General features: G+C 37.0%; 1 protein-coding gene and 1 long non-coding RNA gene across 2 annotated transcripts in view; one reads left to right on the top strand and one right to left on the bottom strand.

Annotated features, from left to right (window-relative positions):
- Positions 1-15380, top strand: part of ITGA1 (integrin subunit alpha 1) — a 171294-nt gene that overhangs the window by 142663 nt on the left and 13251 nt on the right. Inside the window, exons 22-27 of the mRNA NM_181501.2 lie at positions 1469-1558; positions 3316-3418; positions 6823-6936; positions 9012-9113; positions 9262-9366; positions 14365-14457. Of these exons, the coding sequence (NP_852478.1) occupies positions 1469-1558; positions 3316-3418; positions 6823-6936; positions 9012-9113; positions 9262-9366; positions 14365-14457 (607 nt within the window). The remainder of the gene's footprint in view (positions 1-1468; positions 1559-3315; positions 3419-6822; positions 6937-9011; positions 9114-9261; positions 9367-14364; positions 14458-15380) is intronic.
- Positions 28-15380, bottom strand: part of ITGA2-AS1 (ITGA2 antisense RNA 1) — a 59681-nt gene continuing 44328 nt past the window's right edge. The window contains exon 4 of the long non-coding RNA NR_186583.1: positions 28-1958. This is a non-coding gene — a long non-coding RNA (ITGA2 antisense RNA 1). The remainder of the gene's footprint in view (positions 1959-15380) is intronic.

Consider the following 15380-nt stretch of genomic DNA (forward strand, 5'->3'; position numbering starts at 1 on the left):
TAATAGAAGCTGAAATAATATCTACTTGGCAATGGGAACCCAAGAAAGCTTTATCAAGGAACTTATAATTGAGAAAGACCTTGAAGGGTAGATAGCATTTCACAGAGAGGTCACTGAATAGCACCAGGTGGAGCATTTCAGGCAAAATATATAGCTTGATTAAAAAGGTTATCAATTTTAGCTGAAATATAAAGAATACATAAAGTAGCAATGAAAATAAACAGGGAGTGTGCATTCTATCATATTACGCTAGGTACTGAATGTCAGTCAAGGTATTATTTCTTAATTGAACAGACCTTGAAAAGCCAGTAAAGTTTTTGAGAGGTAAAGTCATCTGTACAGAGCTGCTGCTTATGGAGATGAATTTAGGAAGGCTGCAGTGTGGAATGGGTGAGAGAAAAGGGGACCATTCATGCTAAGAGCTGAGTCACACAAATACCTATAATCCAAGGCAGCATGCTGCTTTCTCTGTCCTGCTGCTTATGAGCCACTTTATACATTTGGGAATAAGCAGAGCCATTAAAAAGTACTCTTATGCCCATTCTGTGAGACAATATGTTAGGTGCTTGGTCAGTTGGTGGAGGGGTATGTGTAAAATAATAATGAAAGCTAACACTTACTGAATATTTCCTATGTCCTAGGCACAATCTTAAGCACTTTATACTTATTACTAATTTAATCATCATTTATTACTCATTTGATATCCCATTTTATAGATGAAGAAACCAAAACAAAGACAGATAAGTAATTTGACCAAAGTGTATCAGTGTCCAAGAACAATCTCATTCTCTGGCCCCAGAGCCAGTGTTCATTACTCGTTATATCATTTGTATGTGTTTTCTAATACGAGGAAGTATGTATATGTGTGTATGCACATATATACATGTGTTTACATAATATATAATTTAAATGATAACCAAAATCAAGAGAATAAATCAGTGTTTAACAAACAATATGATCATCAAGTACTTAGTATGGAAAGACTATTAAAGAAGAAAACAAAAGATTTTAGATTTACTCTCAGCTGTGTGACCCTAATCACTTATCTTTACTAAGTCCTCATCTGTGATAAATAAGCATCACCTGGGGGCAGATATGTGGTTAAAAACAGAAATTCCTGCACCCCAAGTTGGAACCCCTAAATCCATATTTCTAAGGGAAGCCCAGTAACCTTTGTATTTTAACAATTAAACTGAGGGATTCTTATCAATATTGTCATAGAATTTTGAAAAACATAAATCAGTGTGATTGTCAAGTCTAGTCGCACATCAGAATCAACTTGGGAACTTTCAACCATACCAATCATCTCTGATCTCCTTCTTCACCCCAATTAAAAAAATGATTAAAAATTATACTCTTACATGCTTTTATTTAGTTGCCAGGATAAGCTTCTCTTTCAAACACTTAGAAATGTCTTTAAATAGTCAAGATTTTAATGGTTTGTCTGAATGTGCCGTGTATTTTCTAGTGACAGCGAAGAACCTCCTGAAACCCTTTCTGATAATGTAGTAAACATTTCTATCCCGGTAAAATATGAAGTTGGACTACAGTTTTACAGGTAGGAGAAAACTACATTTTTATGTGGATGCCTTTCTATTAACCCAGTGGTTCTGAAAGTGTGGTCCCTGCCTGGCCAAGGGCATCAGCATCACCTGGAAACTTGTTAGGCAAATTCTCTGGCCCCACCAGAAACCTACCAAATCAGAAACTCGGAGGATGGGGTTAAACAAGCCTTCCAGGTAATTCTCATGCATCCTAATGTTTGAGAACCATTATACTAAATAACCCAAAGTGTTAGGTGTTAGTGATACCGGATTGCATTTGCTGTCCAGTCTTAATTCCCGAATGCAAGTTGAAGACCCAGAAGTCCTTCGCAAAACACGATATTTTCTTAGAGGCCGCCAGCATATTTCTTGGTCATCGTTCTCATCCTGTGGAAGCTGATCAGTCTTCTCAATCTGGACACACAAGATTAAAGCATTTCTCATTGATAAGAGCTGTTTATTTCTTCCACCATTCATAAACCATTCTTTCTCTTAAGAACTTCTTATCTATCCCAACACAAACCATGTTGACAAACTTTCCCTCTATAATTTCCCCTGCTTAAGCAGAACTCCAAGCTTTTGCCAAATAAACATGTGCAATATACTTAAAAGGATAAGAATCAGTGGCAAGTAGGTTTATTCTAAAAGTCTTATCATTTTATTAATTTTTTAATAATAGTGGCTAACATTTATTGAGCCTTTGTGTTCTGTCTTATGTGATCCTCATGATAACACTATGGTTCAAATACAACTACTATCTCCATTTTCCAGTTGAAGAATTTGAGGTTCAGAGAGGCTAATTTACCCAAGGTTATATATTCAGGAAGTGTTAGTTTAAACCATTTCACATGCTTTTTTTTTTCTTTTAATTTAAAAACTGTTTTAAATTGACACGTAATAATTGTACATATTTATAAGGCGCTTGGAGACGTTGTGATGCAAGTAATATATAGCAACTAAACAGGGTAATTGGAACATCCATTGTCTCAAACATTTATCTTTTTTTTGTATTGGGAACATTCAATATCTTCTTTCTGGCTTAATAATTTATTATCTATGGCACTCTCTCTTTACTAAATGGAGACTACAAAAATGGCATGATTATAGGACATACATGTAGATTGTGCTAATATTTCTCAGCCTTTAAATTCTGTCTCCACTTTTCTGTATTTTTCTGTATCCACTTCTATTGGTGCACTGACTTTTCCCCAAGAGTTTTCCATTTACTTAAAATCAAATTTTGGCAAACACTTATAAATATTTTTTGTCTTCCCTTGACTGAAGTGCTGCTTAAAAACATACTATTTTACTCTACCAAGTTCATCCAAAGAACATGATGAAGCTGTGTAGAGAAGATTGAACTTTTAAGTTTAGCAGTAAATATAGGACTTTAAATTATGAAATGGTAAAAATTTTTAATCTATTTAGAATTCAGCATTACATTTTAGTTTCATTTTTCACTAGGTATAAATGGTATTAGTGAATTTACAGAAACTTTTCACTTGTTAACCATGAAATTTTAACTTTTAAAACTCATATTCTAGCATTTTGGGGTCAAATAAGCATCAGTGACTATTGAACTAAATTACATAATCCTTCTCACTCTCCTCAAAGATTTAATTTTACGTTTCAAGGTAAATGAATTCCCCTATGATTTGAAATCCCTACAAGTATTTTTGTGGAATTACATGATATGGAGAAAGAAAATAATGAGGCCAAATAAAAGTTAAACTTTGTTATGTTTTATTTTTCTTCTAATTAATTTTTTAAGCTCTGCAAGTGAATACCACATTTCAATTGCTGCCAATGAGACAGTCCCTGAAGTTATTAATTCTACTGAGGACATTGGAAATGAAATTAATATCTTCTACTTGGTAAGAAATTACCTCTAAAATAGTATTCTAAAGGAGTTATTTGTAAATATATAAATTAAAGTATTAACAGACACATAAAAATATGTTGCTTCAATGTTTAATCTCTATATTCCAGCATATTTTCTTTATAATTTCATAAATATAAATATAGACATATAATATATAAATATAATTTTCAATTTATATTTTTCTTTATAATTTCACTGAAGATTTAAATTTGTTGTAATTATATTTTCACATCAGTTTAGAGATCTAAGCCTCTAATTTCCTCAAAATAAGATACCACTAGAATGACTTTCTAGAAAAAAAAAATAAACTATGGGACTAGATAGATGCTACCGATAAACCTGTAGACTTTACTTACATTATTTTATCAGTGTGACTGAGAAAAGCACTTTTTCATTAATTATGACTATATCAGAAATTTGTTATCACAATTGTCTTGGCAATTTTTTTTACTTAACAAATAAGTATGTATCACATTCTCCTTATTGTTACCTTTCACATGCATTGTACTATAAATTACTCATGTTGGTACTACCACCTCCTTAAATGATGTTTTCTATTACATTTATTTTTCCTTTTAAATCCTTCATAACAAACTCTATACCACTATAGCAAACAATCACGGAATTTTATTTTAGGTAATGCCTAGTTACTGACACAGACTCAAGTTAAAATCACTCAAGGAAAAAAGAGAGCACAATTCAAATAATGGATTTAAATATGTATTCAAAAATATGAGATAATGCAACAAAATTATAAATGAAGACAGCCTCAATCCTTTTGGGAATTGCCAACCACAAAAAAAAGTTCTCTCATAGAGTATAAATAAACGTATACTCCCAAGATTAATTTCATTTTTTAAAATTTGTACTCTTTGCTAGAATTCCTATGACAATTTATGCTAATTTCCCTGGAAATTAGCATAAATGCCAATCACTCTACTGGATTCTAGGACAGATTTTTGGAATTCAGGCTATCAGATTTCTCCAGCCCTATTCACTTTCCCTGAACTAGAAAATTCAGCAAAAAAAGAAAGAAAACAAAAAGACTTTGTTGCAGAACTTTATATATTGTAACTTATTAGGGTCCAGATTTGAAATAGGTACTCTCTCTTATAAAAGTGTTGATATGAATTACATTGCTAAGAATATTCCTGAGCATAAAACTTTGTGTGTATCTCTGATTATTTTGCTGAAGTAAATTCTAGAATTGGAATAAAGGAGTTTTTTAAAAGAACTTTTTTTAAGGTGAAACCCGGTAAGTTTACTGCTCGGAATTTTCCCTAGGAAATTTTTGGTGATAGAAACAAAGATTTCAGGGATGTTCTTAACAATATTATTTATAATAGTTTAAAAATTAAAGCCTGGGCACAATCTAAACACTTAACACAATGAAATTACTTACATTATCATATATTTAGTGAAGAGATTATCATATATTCAATGGAGAGACAACGTAATATTTTAGAAGGCACATTTTGGAGTAAGAAACCATAATGCTGCTATTTACTAGCTTTGTGATCTTGGAAGTTCTTAATTTTCATTCCAACCTTCTTACCTCATAGATAAAACAAAGATAATATGAGGATCTGCTTCCTGCAGTTGTTAACAGGGTTAAAAGCAATAATGCATATAAGAAGATTAGCACAGCATGTGGCACATAGTCAACAATATTGATATTGTGGTTGTTATGAACAGTCATATTCTCAATAAACTTATACATTTAAAGGAAAATGCCATAGCATAATACATTTTACAGACAGGGTACAAAACTGTATTTTATTGTGTTACAAATTTTATAAATATGCATATATGCAAATAGGACAGGTAACCTACACTAAAATGTTACCAAGGTAGTTGAAGTATAGGAAACGTTTATTTTCAGTATTTTCCAATGTTTCTACAAGGAACATTTTTTAATCAGAAAAAAATGGTAATTACAGAACACAGGATTTCTTTTTTTTTTTTTTTTTTTTTTTTTTTTTTTTTTTTGAGACGGAGTCTCGCTCTGTCGCCCAGGCTGGAGTGCAGTGGCGGGATCTCGGCTCACTGCAAGCTCCGCCTCCCGGGTTCACGCCATTCTCCTGCCTCAGCCTCCCAAGTAGCTGGGACCACAGGCGCCCGCCACTACGCCCGGCTAATTTTTTGTATTTTTTAGTAGAGACGGGGTTTCACCGTTTTAGCCGGGATGGTCTCGATCTCCTGACCTCGTGATCCGCCCGCCTCGGCCTCCCAAAGTGCTGGGATTACAGGCGTGAGCCACCGCGCCCGGCCAGAACACAGGATTTCTAACTGAATATCAGGAAACAGAATTTGACTGGAAATCAAGAAGATAAGAGTTAGGGAGCATGTTTAAGGGTCCAGGTGCAGCTGGTCAGGAACCTCCAGAATTCCAGAATTAAAGGATGTATTTCGTCTTTACAAACCCAGGAAACTGCTTCAGATCTGAGGAGCTCTCAGTCTGGAAGGCTCAGTTGGGTAGATCACTGGCTTTCCTTGGGTCTATCTATGTAGATCAAGGCGTTCCCTACCCAGCTAAAGAAGCTGCACAGGGATGCCATAGGTTTCAGGCCTGCAGATTATGCTTCAGCAGTAGGAAGGGGACAACTGCATCTGGTTGTCCCAGTTCAGTTGTACCTTTTAAGCAGGGAAGGACCTCTGGATAGTGAGTTCAGTTTCCTGTTGAACTTTATCCTGCCCACCTTTCCCTCTGAGCTACACTCACTACTGGTAGCAGAACATGATACTAAGTGGAAACTTTGGGTTAGTGGATAAAATCGAATGGAGACTGAGATGAAAGTAAATCTGACTCTCATAAAACCAGATTATCAACAGCCAGTGTCACGGTAGCCCTAGCTGGGGGTAGAATTGTGAAGGGAAGCAGATGGGAGTCTGGTTTTCCTGTATAGTGGTGGCAGATCCCATCTAGCCAGGATTAGAGATGATTTATGGGTTTAAGGAATTATGGCAAACTGGGTAAAGGCAACCAAAAATCTAAATTGTTCCGTGGTCTCCCTTCTTTCCAGTTTCAAAAAGACTGGTATGTTAAAAAAAAAAAAAAGAAAGAAAAAGAAAAGAATGAGCATGGCAAGAACATAATAACAGACAAAAACTTCCAATTCTGGTCTTCTGTTAATCCTAGGTCTATTAAGAGAATGGGGGATGGAGGAACAATATGATTATAGCTGATACATACGGCTACTGACCATTAAGTGTCCATATTTTCTGCTGGCTGAATTATGCCAATTCTCTGTACAGCACCATAAAGGATCTACATTTGTTTGGGGATTCAAAATATTACACAATTTACTTCATCAGCTAGAAAACAAAGCCCTACATAAGACAGAAGAATTCTATTAAAAGAGGAAGAAAGATTACATTTCCATTTTTTTCTTGTAGATTAGAAAAAGTGGATCTTTTCCAATGCCAGAGCTTAAGCTGTCAATTTCATTCCCCAATATGACATCAAATGGTTACCCTGTGCTGTACCCAACTGGATTGTCATCTTCTGAGGTAAGTCATGTGTGCCTTGGAATTATGTCATTACTGTTATCTTTTCCACTTTATGTTTAAGCCTTTTGTTCTGCATGATACTTGTAATAAAGAATTTTACCAAAGTAACATGGAGAGGTATTTAGATAATTAAAAGCAAATAATAATAGATGTATTATTCCCTAGAGCTGCTGTAACAAATTATCACAAATTGAGTGACTTAAAACAACACAAATTTATTCTTTCACGGTTCTGGAGTCCAGAAGTCCAAAATCAAGGTGTTGACAGTGTTAATTCCCTCTGGAGGCTCCAAGAGAGACTCTTTCTCATGCTGTTTTCCTAGCTTCTGGTGACAACTGGCAACCCTAGTCGTTCCTTGGCTTGCGGCAGCATAGCTCCTATCTCTGCCTCTGTCTTCACCTGGCCTTCTCTGTGTTTCTATGTGTTCTCCTTCTCTCTTTGTGTTTCTGCACACTCACCATTAGATTTAGGGTCCACCCTAAATCCAGAGTGATCTCATCTGGAGATCCTTAATATAATTATGTCTGCAAAGACCCTATTTCCAAGTAAAGTCATATTTACTAGTTCTAGGGAGATTTAGGCATATCTTTGGGGACCACTATTCAATCCACTAGAGTAGATTTTAAATAATTCATTGTTATGAAATGTTTCTTACACTTTTCCTTGATTTGTGGTAATCAAACAACTCTATAAAGTGACTTCTTAATTGTACCTAAGCATGCACAGCTGCAAACAAAATAGTATAATTGTATTTACTCACATCCCAAATAATAGCAATATTGCACCCCCTTTATATTTTTAGCTTGAATGAGACTATATGATGGTTCATTATGGTTTAGTGCCTAAAACAAAAAATCACCATAAGTATTGAATTAATGTGTGCATGATGTCAGAATTTGGAAATCTGTCTTTTCATGCATTTTTTAAAGTGTTCCCAGAAATCAAGAAATAGCAACAATGCTAATTGGCTTGTGATCACTTAAATGTTTTCCTAAGGGCAAGGAAAAAATAAGCCTTTGGAATTTCCCTCTAATCCAAAAAAGCAGGTTTGTGAAAATCCAGAAGAGAAAAAAAAATTGTACTTTTCATACTGCTTAGGAAACTTTAATCTTATTAACTTTTGTCAAGGATATTGACAGTACTGGGGAAGCAAAAGGTTTACTAGGTTAAGTCTAGAACCAGCTATCTTATAAATATAGCATTTTAACATAATATATTAACATCTATAGGGCTGTCTGCTTACGTCTACCTCCCATGTAGACTGAGTGTCCTATCCTTGGTGTGTAGGGAATCAAAAGTATTACTGGATGAATACATAAATACAGATGAAGGTCTCTCGCTTTTCAATTGTTTCATGAGCCATAATATTGAACAAGTATTTTTGTTGTTTTTGTTTCCTTTTTTTTGAGACGGAATCTCTCTCTGTCACCCAGGCTGGAGTGCAGTGGCGCGATCTTGGCTTACTGCAACCTCCTCCTCCCATGTCCAAATGATTCTCCTGCCTCAGACTCCCAAGTAGCTGGGACTACAGGCGCCTGCCACCACACCCAACTAATTTTTGTATTTCTAGTAGAGATGGGGCCTCACCATGTTGGCCAGGCTGGTCTCGAACTCCTGACCTCAGGTGATCCACCCACCTCGGCCTCCCAGAGTGCTAGAATTACAGGTGTGAGCCACTGTGGCTGGCCGTTGTTTTTGTTTTTATCAGTAGAATTTAAATGCTTTTCTCTCTCTGTAGTATAGAATTTATAAGCTTATCTTTGATTAAGGTAATAATGAATGTATTAATCACGTAATAGTAAGTTCTATTAGCATTCTTTCTTTTCCATTACAACCTCACTAGTTTCCATTACAATTCAAAAGTAGCATGGTAAGAGTACATATTATCTTGGGGTGGATATATATGTATGTATGGCTGGTGCATAACAACCTTTCCCATACAGCACACTTACAAAGATGGATCTCTAATATATGGCAATGGCTGTCATTCACAGATTCTTTACACTACTGCAGCAAGTCATGTTTTTCCTCTGATATCTGGCATTGTCTGATAAATGTAATATTTTCATTTCTAGAATGCAAACTGCAGACCCCATATCTTTGAGGATCCTTTCAGTATCAACTCTGGAAAGAAAATGACTACATCAACTGACCATCTCAAACGAGGCACAATTCTGGTAAATTAAGACAAGTGCTATTTTTACCTTTTGCTTTCCAAATGAATAAAATTGATATCAATCTAGAAATAACCATCTGAAGAATTTAAATATAGATATTTGATAAAACGGCAAGAATACTGATATGTATCTCTGGACATTTAAACAGGACTGCAATACATGTAAATTTGCTACCATCACATGTAATCTCACTTCTTCTGACATCAGCCAAGTCAATGTTTCGCTTATCTTGTGGAAACCAACTTTTATAAAAGTAAGTAAATACATAGTTCTATGCACTTATTGAATAATATCAATAAATATTCATTTACCACTTAGAATATGCAAGGCACTGTGCTGCTTTTGGAAAGAATGTGCGACTGGAAGTATAAGAGGATGTGACCAAGCCCCAGCTCTACTTAACCAGCTATGTGTGTCTCATCTTCCTTGTCTGTTAAGAACTAAGATATTACCAAGGTCCCCTCTGGAGAGATATACTTTTTTCAATCTCTCTTATCCTTTTTCTTTGTACTTTAAGAGATAAATACCTTTCCAGTACCAAAGCTTGCACTTATCTTAATACTTTGGAACTCAGTTAATGTACAGAGTATAATAAAGTGGCAACCCTTGACCCCAGTAACAAAGGAAAGAGCTAACATATACCATAGACTTACTGTGTTTTATCAGACTGTTATTATATGTATAATTTTATAATATATAGGTATATATGAAGCCTTTTTTCTTTTTTTTTTTTTTGAGACGGAGTGTCTCTCTGTCGCCCAGGCTGGAGTGCAGTGGCACGATCTCAGCTCACTGCAAGCTCCACCTCCCGGGTTCACGCCATTCTCCTGCCTCAGCCTCCCGAGTAGCTGGGACTACAGGCGCCCACCACCACGCCCGGCTAATTTTTTTTTGTATTTTAGTAGAGACTATGAAGACATTTTTAACCCCTTATAAAGCCAAATCTGTCTGACAATAAGCTACTTTAAAACTTTTTATTGTATTTTGTATTATTTATTTCTCAGGAAGTATTTAGTTGAACATATGACTTTGCCATTTTTGAATTTGATTATAGTAAGTTGCTATTTTTATGTCATTAACTGTTAATATTGGCAATTTCATTTTTTAAATTTCAACTTTAATTTTAGATACAGGGAGTATACATGCACGAGTTTGTTACATGGGTATATTTGCAGGATATTGAGGTTTAGGGTACAGATTCCATCGCTCAGGTAGTGGGCATAATACCCAATAGGTAGTTTGTCAGCTCCTCCAAGTAGTCCATGGTGTCTACTGTTCCCATCTTTATATCCATGAGTACCCAAGGCTTAACTCTCACTTATACGTGAGAACATGTGGTATTTGGTTTTCTGTTCCTGTGGAATTTGCTTAGGATTATGGCCTCCATCTGCATGTATGTTGCTGCAAAGGACATGATTTTGTTCTTTTTTATGGCTGTGCAGTGTTCCATGGTGTATATGTACATATTTTCTTTATCCAGGCCACTGTTGATGGGCACCTATGTTAATTCCATGTCTTTGCTGTTGTGAATAGCACTGCAATGAAGATATGACCGCACGTGTCTTTTTGGTAAACAGTTTCTTTCGGGTATATACACCCAGTAATGGGATTGCTGGGTTGAATGGTAGTTCTGTTTTAAGTTGTTTGAGAAATCTCCAAACTGCTTTCCACTGGCTGAACTAATTTACATCCCCACCAACAGTGTATAAGCTTTTCCTTTTCTCTGCTGCCTCACCATTTTCTGTTATTTTTTGACTTCTTAATAATAGCCATTCTGACTGGAGTGAGATGGTACCTACCTCATTTTGGCTTTTATTTGCATTTCTGTAATGATTAGTGATAATGAGAGTTTTTTCATATGTTTGTTGGTCACCTGTATGTCATGTTTTAAGGAGTCTATTCATGTCCTTCGCCCATTATTTAATGTGGTTATTTGTTGATTGATTGCTTGCTGAGTTGTTCAAGTTCCTTATTCTGGATATTAGACCTTTGTCAGATGCATAGTTTGCAATTATTTTCTCCCATTCTGTAGGTTGTCTGTTTACTCTATTGATAATGTCTTTTGTTGTGCAGAAGCTCTTTAGTTTAATTAGATCCCACTTGTCAATTTTTGTTTTTGTTGCAATTGCTTTTAGAGACTTAGCCAAAAATTATTTGCCAAGACCAATGTCAGAGAGGGTATTTCCTAGGTTTTCTTATAATATTTTTATAGTTAAAGGTCTTATATTTAAATCTTTAATTTGTCTTGGTTAGTTTTTATATATGGGGAAAGTTAGGGGTCCAGTTTCATTCTTCTGCATATGGCTAGCCAGTTATCCCAACACCATTTTTTGACTAGGGATTCCTTTCCCCATTGCTTGTTTTTGTTGGCTTTATCAAAGATCAGACGGCTGTAGGTATGTGGCTTTATTTCTGAATTCTCTATTCTGTTTCACTGGTCCATGTGGCTCTTCTGTACCAGTATCATACTGTTTTGATTACCGTAGCCTTATAGTAGAGTTCGAAGTCAGGCAGTGTGATGGGTCTGGCTTTGTTCTTTTTACTTAGGATTGCTTTGGCTACCTGAGCTCTTTTTTTAGATCCACATGAATTTTAGAATAGTTTTTTCTAATTCTGTGAAAAATGATGTTGGTACTTTAAGAGCAACAGTGTTAAATCTATACATTGCTTTGGGCAGTATGGCCATTTAATGATATTAAATGAAAGGTTTTTTCTTTTATTTGTCTCATCTCTGATTTCTTTCAGCAGTGTTTTTTAGGTCTCCTTTTAGAGATCTCTTACCTCCTTGGTTAGCTGTATTCCTGGATATTTCAGTGTTTTTTGTAGCTTCTGTAAATGGAGTTTTTTTTTTTTTTTTGAGACGGAGTCTCGCTCTGTCGCCCAGGCTGGAGTCCAGTGGCGCGACCTTGGCTCACTGCAAGCTCCGCCTCCCGGGTTCACGCCATTCTCTTGACTCAGCCTCCTGAGCAGCTGGGACTACAGGCACCCACCACCATGCCCGGCTAATTTTTTTTTTTTTTTTTGTATTTTTAGTAGAGATGGGGTTTCACTGTGTTAGCCAGGATGGTCTCGATCTCCTGACCTCATGATCTGCCCACCTCAGCCTCCCAAAGTGCTGGGATTACAGGCGTGAGCCACCGCACCCAGCCCTGAGTTGTGTTGTTTATTTGACTCTCACCTTGAACATTATTGGTGTATAGAAATGCTACTAATTTTTGTACCCCTATTTTATATTCTGAAACTTTACTAAAGTCATTTATGAATTCTAGGAGTTTTTTGGCAGAGTCTTAAGGGTTTTCTAGGTATAGGATCATATTACCAGTGGAAAAAAGATAGCTTGACTTCTTCTATTCCTATTTGGATGTCTTTATTTCTTTATCTTGCCTTATTGCTCTGGCTAGGACTTAGAGTACTAGGTTGAATAGGAGTGGTAAGAGTGGGCATCCTTGTCTTATTCCAGTTCCCCAGGGGAATGGTTCCAGCTTTTGCCCATTCAGTATGATATTGGCTAGGATTAGTTACAGATGACTCTTATTATTTGGAGGTATGTTTCTTTGATGCCTGTCTCTACCTAGAGTTCTTGTGCTGATTCTTTCTCATCTTGGGGGACTGATGTTCTTCAACTGTGGTGTAAGTTGAGTGTAGTCATTTGGGTTTGTTTCTGGATGCTTTCAGAGGGCCAAGTCTCTGTACAGGATCTTTATTTGTGGGTGTATGCTCACAGGAGTGTTTATTAGCAAAGTAATTTTTGGTGTTGTTGTTTGAGCTGTGATCCAGTAGAGGGCAATTAAGGGTAATGGGCAGTAGATAGGCTCTTAGTCTTGCCACTCTTGTATTTGCTCATGTTTGCAGGGGTGCTCTGCAGTGGGTAGGGAGAGGCCTCCTCCAATCACTGGCACTGTACCCATGTTTCTTTTGTTAGGTGTTCTGGGCCACAGGCTCTCTCGGGCAGAGGCCATGGCAGGTAGATAGGTGACACCTTTTCCGAACCAGCCCTGTGGAGGGAGTCATGCCCTACTCCAGTGCTGGCCCACGCTGGCCCACGAATCCATGTTTGTTACCCATCTCAGTGCTCTGAGATGGGGGCTCCTCCCCTACTTGAGTGCCAGCCATAGATCTCAGCTTGGTACTCCTGAGACGGACATGCCATCTCTGGGTCTCCAGGACACCCCGCAGCTCAGAGTCAGGCTCTGGTTGCTTTGGAGGATCCAAAGTCCTCCCAGGTCACAGGGAAAGTACTCAGGTGGGGCGCAGCACCCAGGCTGGGCGGCAGAGACTGCGCTGTGCACATGCTCCTGTGGGGCAGTTAGGCAGGGACTCTGGGAGGGTCTGGCAGGCGGGAGAGGCTGCAGAACAGACATGCCCCAGTCCCATGGGGAATGCCTGCTTTCTCCTGGCTTGTGGTCACCTGGGGCTAGAGCCTCTCTGAAGGAGATGGGGAGTCCGAGGGGATGGGCACCTATGTCTGTGCTCTGCTCACAAAAGCTCCTGGGCTCCATGCTAGCTGAAGCCCTGTCTCTACCTGCTCCCTGGGAAAATCCACCTGCCAGCTCACACATCCATTGGAGATGTTGGGTACTCTGTAGCTTAGATCCCAGATGTCTGTGGCAAGAGTGAGCTGTCCCTCAGTCCCCTCCCTCACCCCTTCTCCAGGAGCCATTTAGGGCCAGGAAGTAGCCCAAGCATTCAGGTACCCTACGCAGGGTTCCCAGCTTCTCCCTCTTCAGCCTCAGCATCTGTGTTGCCTCTCCACACACTTGCGGTGTTTTCTCCCTAGAGATCAGATCTGCCCAAATTATATTATTTACTTGATAATTTGGGATCTCTTAGTGGGAGAGATGGCTGTGTCTAGTTAGCCATCTTGTCCCCCTAGATCATCAATTTCATTTTTAATCCTAAATAAGTGCCTAGATAAACTTCATCACCAGAATGTAGTTGTTTCATGTCTTGCTACATTAAAGGTAGGCAGAGTTTGAGGTTTGTTTTTTCTAATGATAAATCAATACAAAATATTTTTAAAATTTTTTTTCATTCCATAACGAGGATCTAAGTAAGGATTTTCAGTGGCAAATGAGGGAGGACAAGTGCACGGTTATTATTTGATACTACCAGTTCCATTTGGAAGTTAACAAAACTGGAATTTTTAATCTCTCAGAAAAATCTTAGCTTTTATAAATGTCCTACTCAAACATGACTAGCTCTCATTTTGATTAGCATCATATATTAAGAACAAATCCTATTTGCTTTTCAGTCATATTTTTCCAGCTTAAATCTTACTATAAGGGGAGAACTTCGGAGTGAAAATGCATCTCTGGTTTTAAGTAGCAGCAATCAAAAAAGAGAGGTAAGTGCAACATGAGTTTTGAAAACATTATGCATTTCACTCTGAATTTTGTGACATAATGTTTTATAATTGTTGATAGTCCCTTAAGCAGTGACTGGTATTGCTCTCGGTAAGTGACAGACACTATTTGCTTCAAATTATACTTCATTAGCTTCAAATGTGATTTTAGTCTTATTCATCCTTGTAAGACACTGGGAAAATCATGATATTTACAATTCACATGCCGCATTTGACTTTATCACTTATAACTATCACGGTAAATGGATGTTTTTACTTTCACTTTGATAACAAATGATGCAGTTGTAACTTTCCTCCTTAAAAGCTGACATTATAAAATGCAGCTGATATCTGAAGAGCAGCCGCAAAAAACAACTTCTTTATAAAAAGTGCCTTTATACTGTACAGGAAAACATGTACATTTTTTAAAGTTTTCTTTCAAATTTCATTGAGAAATTTGAAACAAAAAAGTGATGGTATTTCCTAATACAAATTCAGACTTGAGTCCTCAGTAAAAATAGAAAGGTTTGAGTTTTTAACTCTTGTCCTTTTTATAAATTAATAAGCCAAGGTGACGGAGTAAGACCCCATCTCTAAAAAAATAAAATAAAATAAGTACTTGTTACACATGCAGGCACTTCAGCATGATCTCCCCCCTTCTCATGGGAGACTTTAAATATCCCATGTGGATAACAGCACCATGTGAATCATAAAATTCAATTTGGAAGCTCCCTAACTTTCAGATGTTCTTTTTAAATTGCTTATTTCAAATTTTTCCAATATCAATGACTTCTGATAAGTATACGCTTTTCAAGAAAAAGGAAAATACATGCATATAATGTTTACTTATGTCATAAAGAGCGCTTAGCATAAGCAATGCAAAATGCAAAGTTGTTCCTTACATAGAATAGCCAACATTTCACTAA

Source organism: Homo sapiens, chromosome 5 (assembly GCF_000001405.40).
Source record: "Homo sapiens chromosome 5, GRCh38.p14 Primary Assembly".
Classification (NCBI taxonomy): domain Eukaryota; kingdom Metazoa; phylum Chordata; class Mammalia; order Primates; family Hominidae; genus Homo; species Homo sapiens.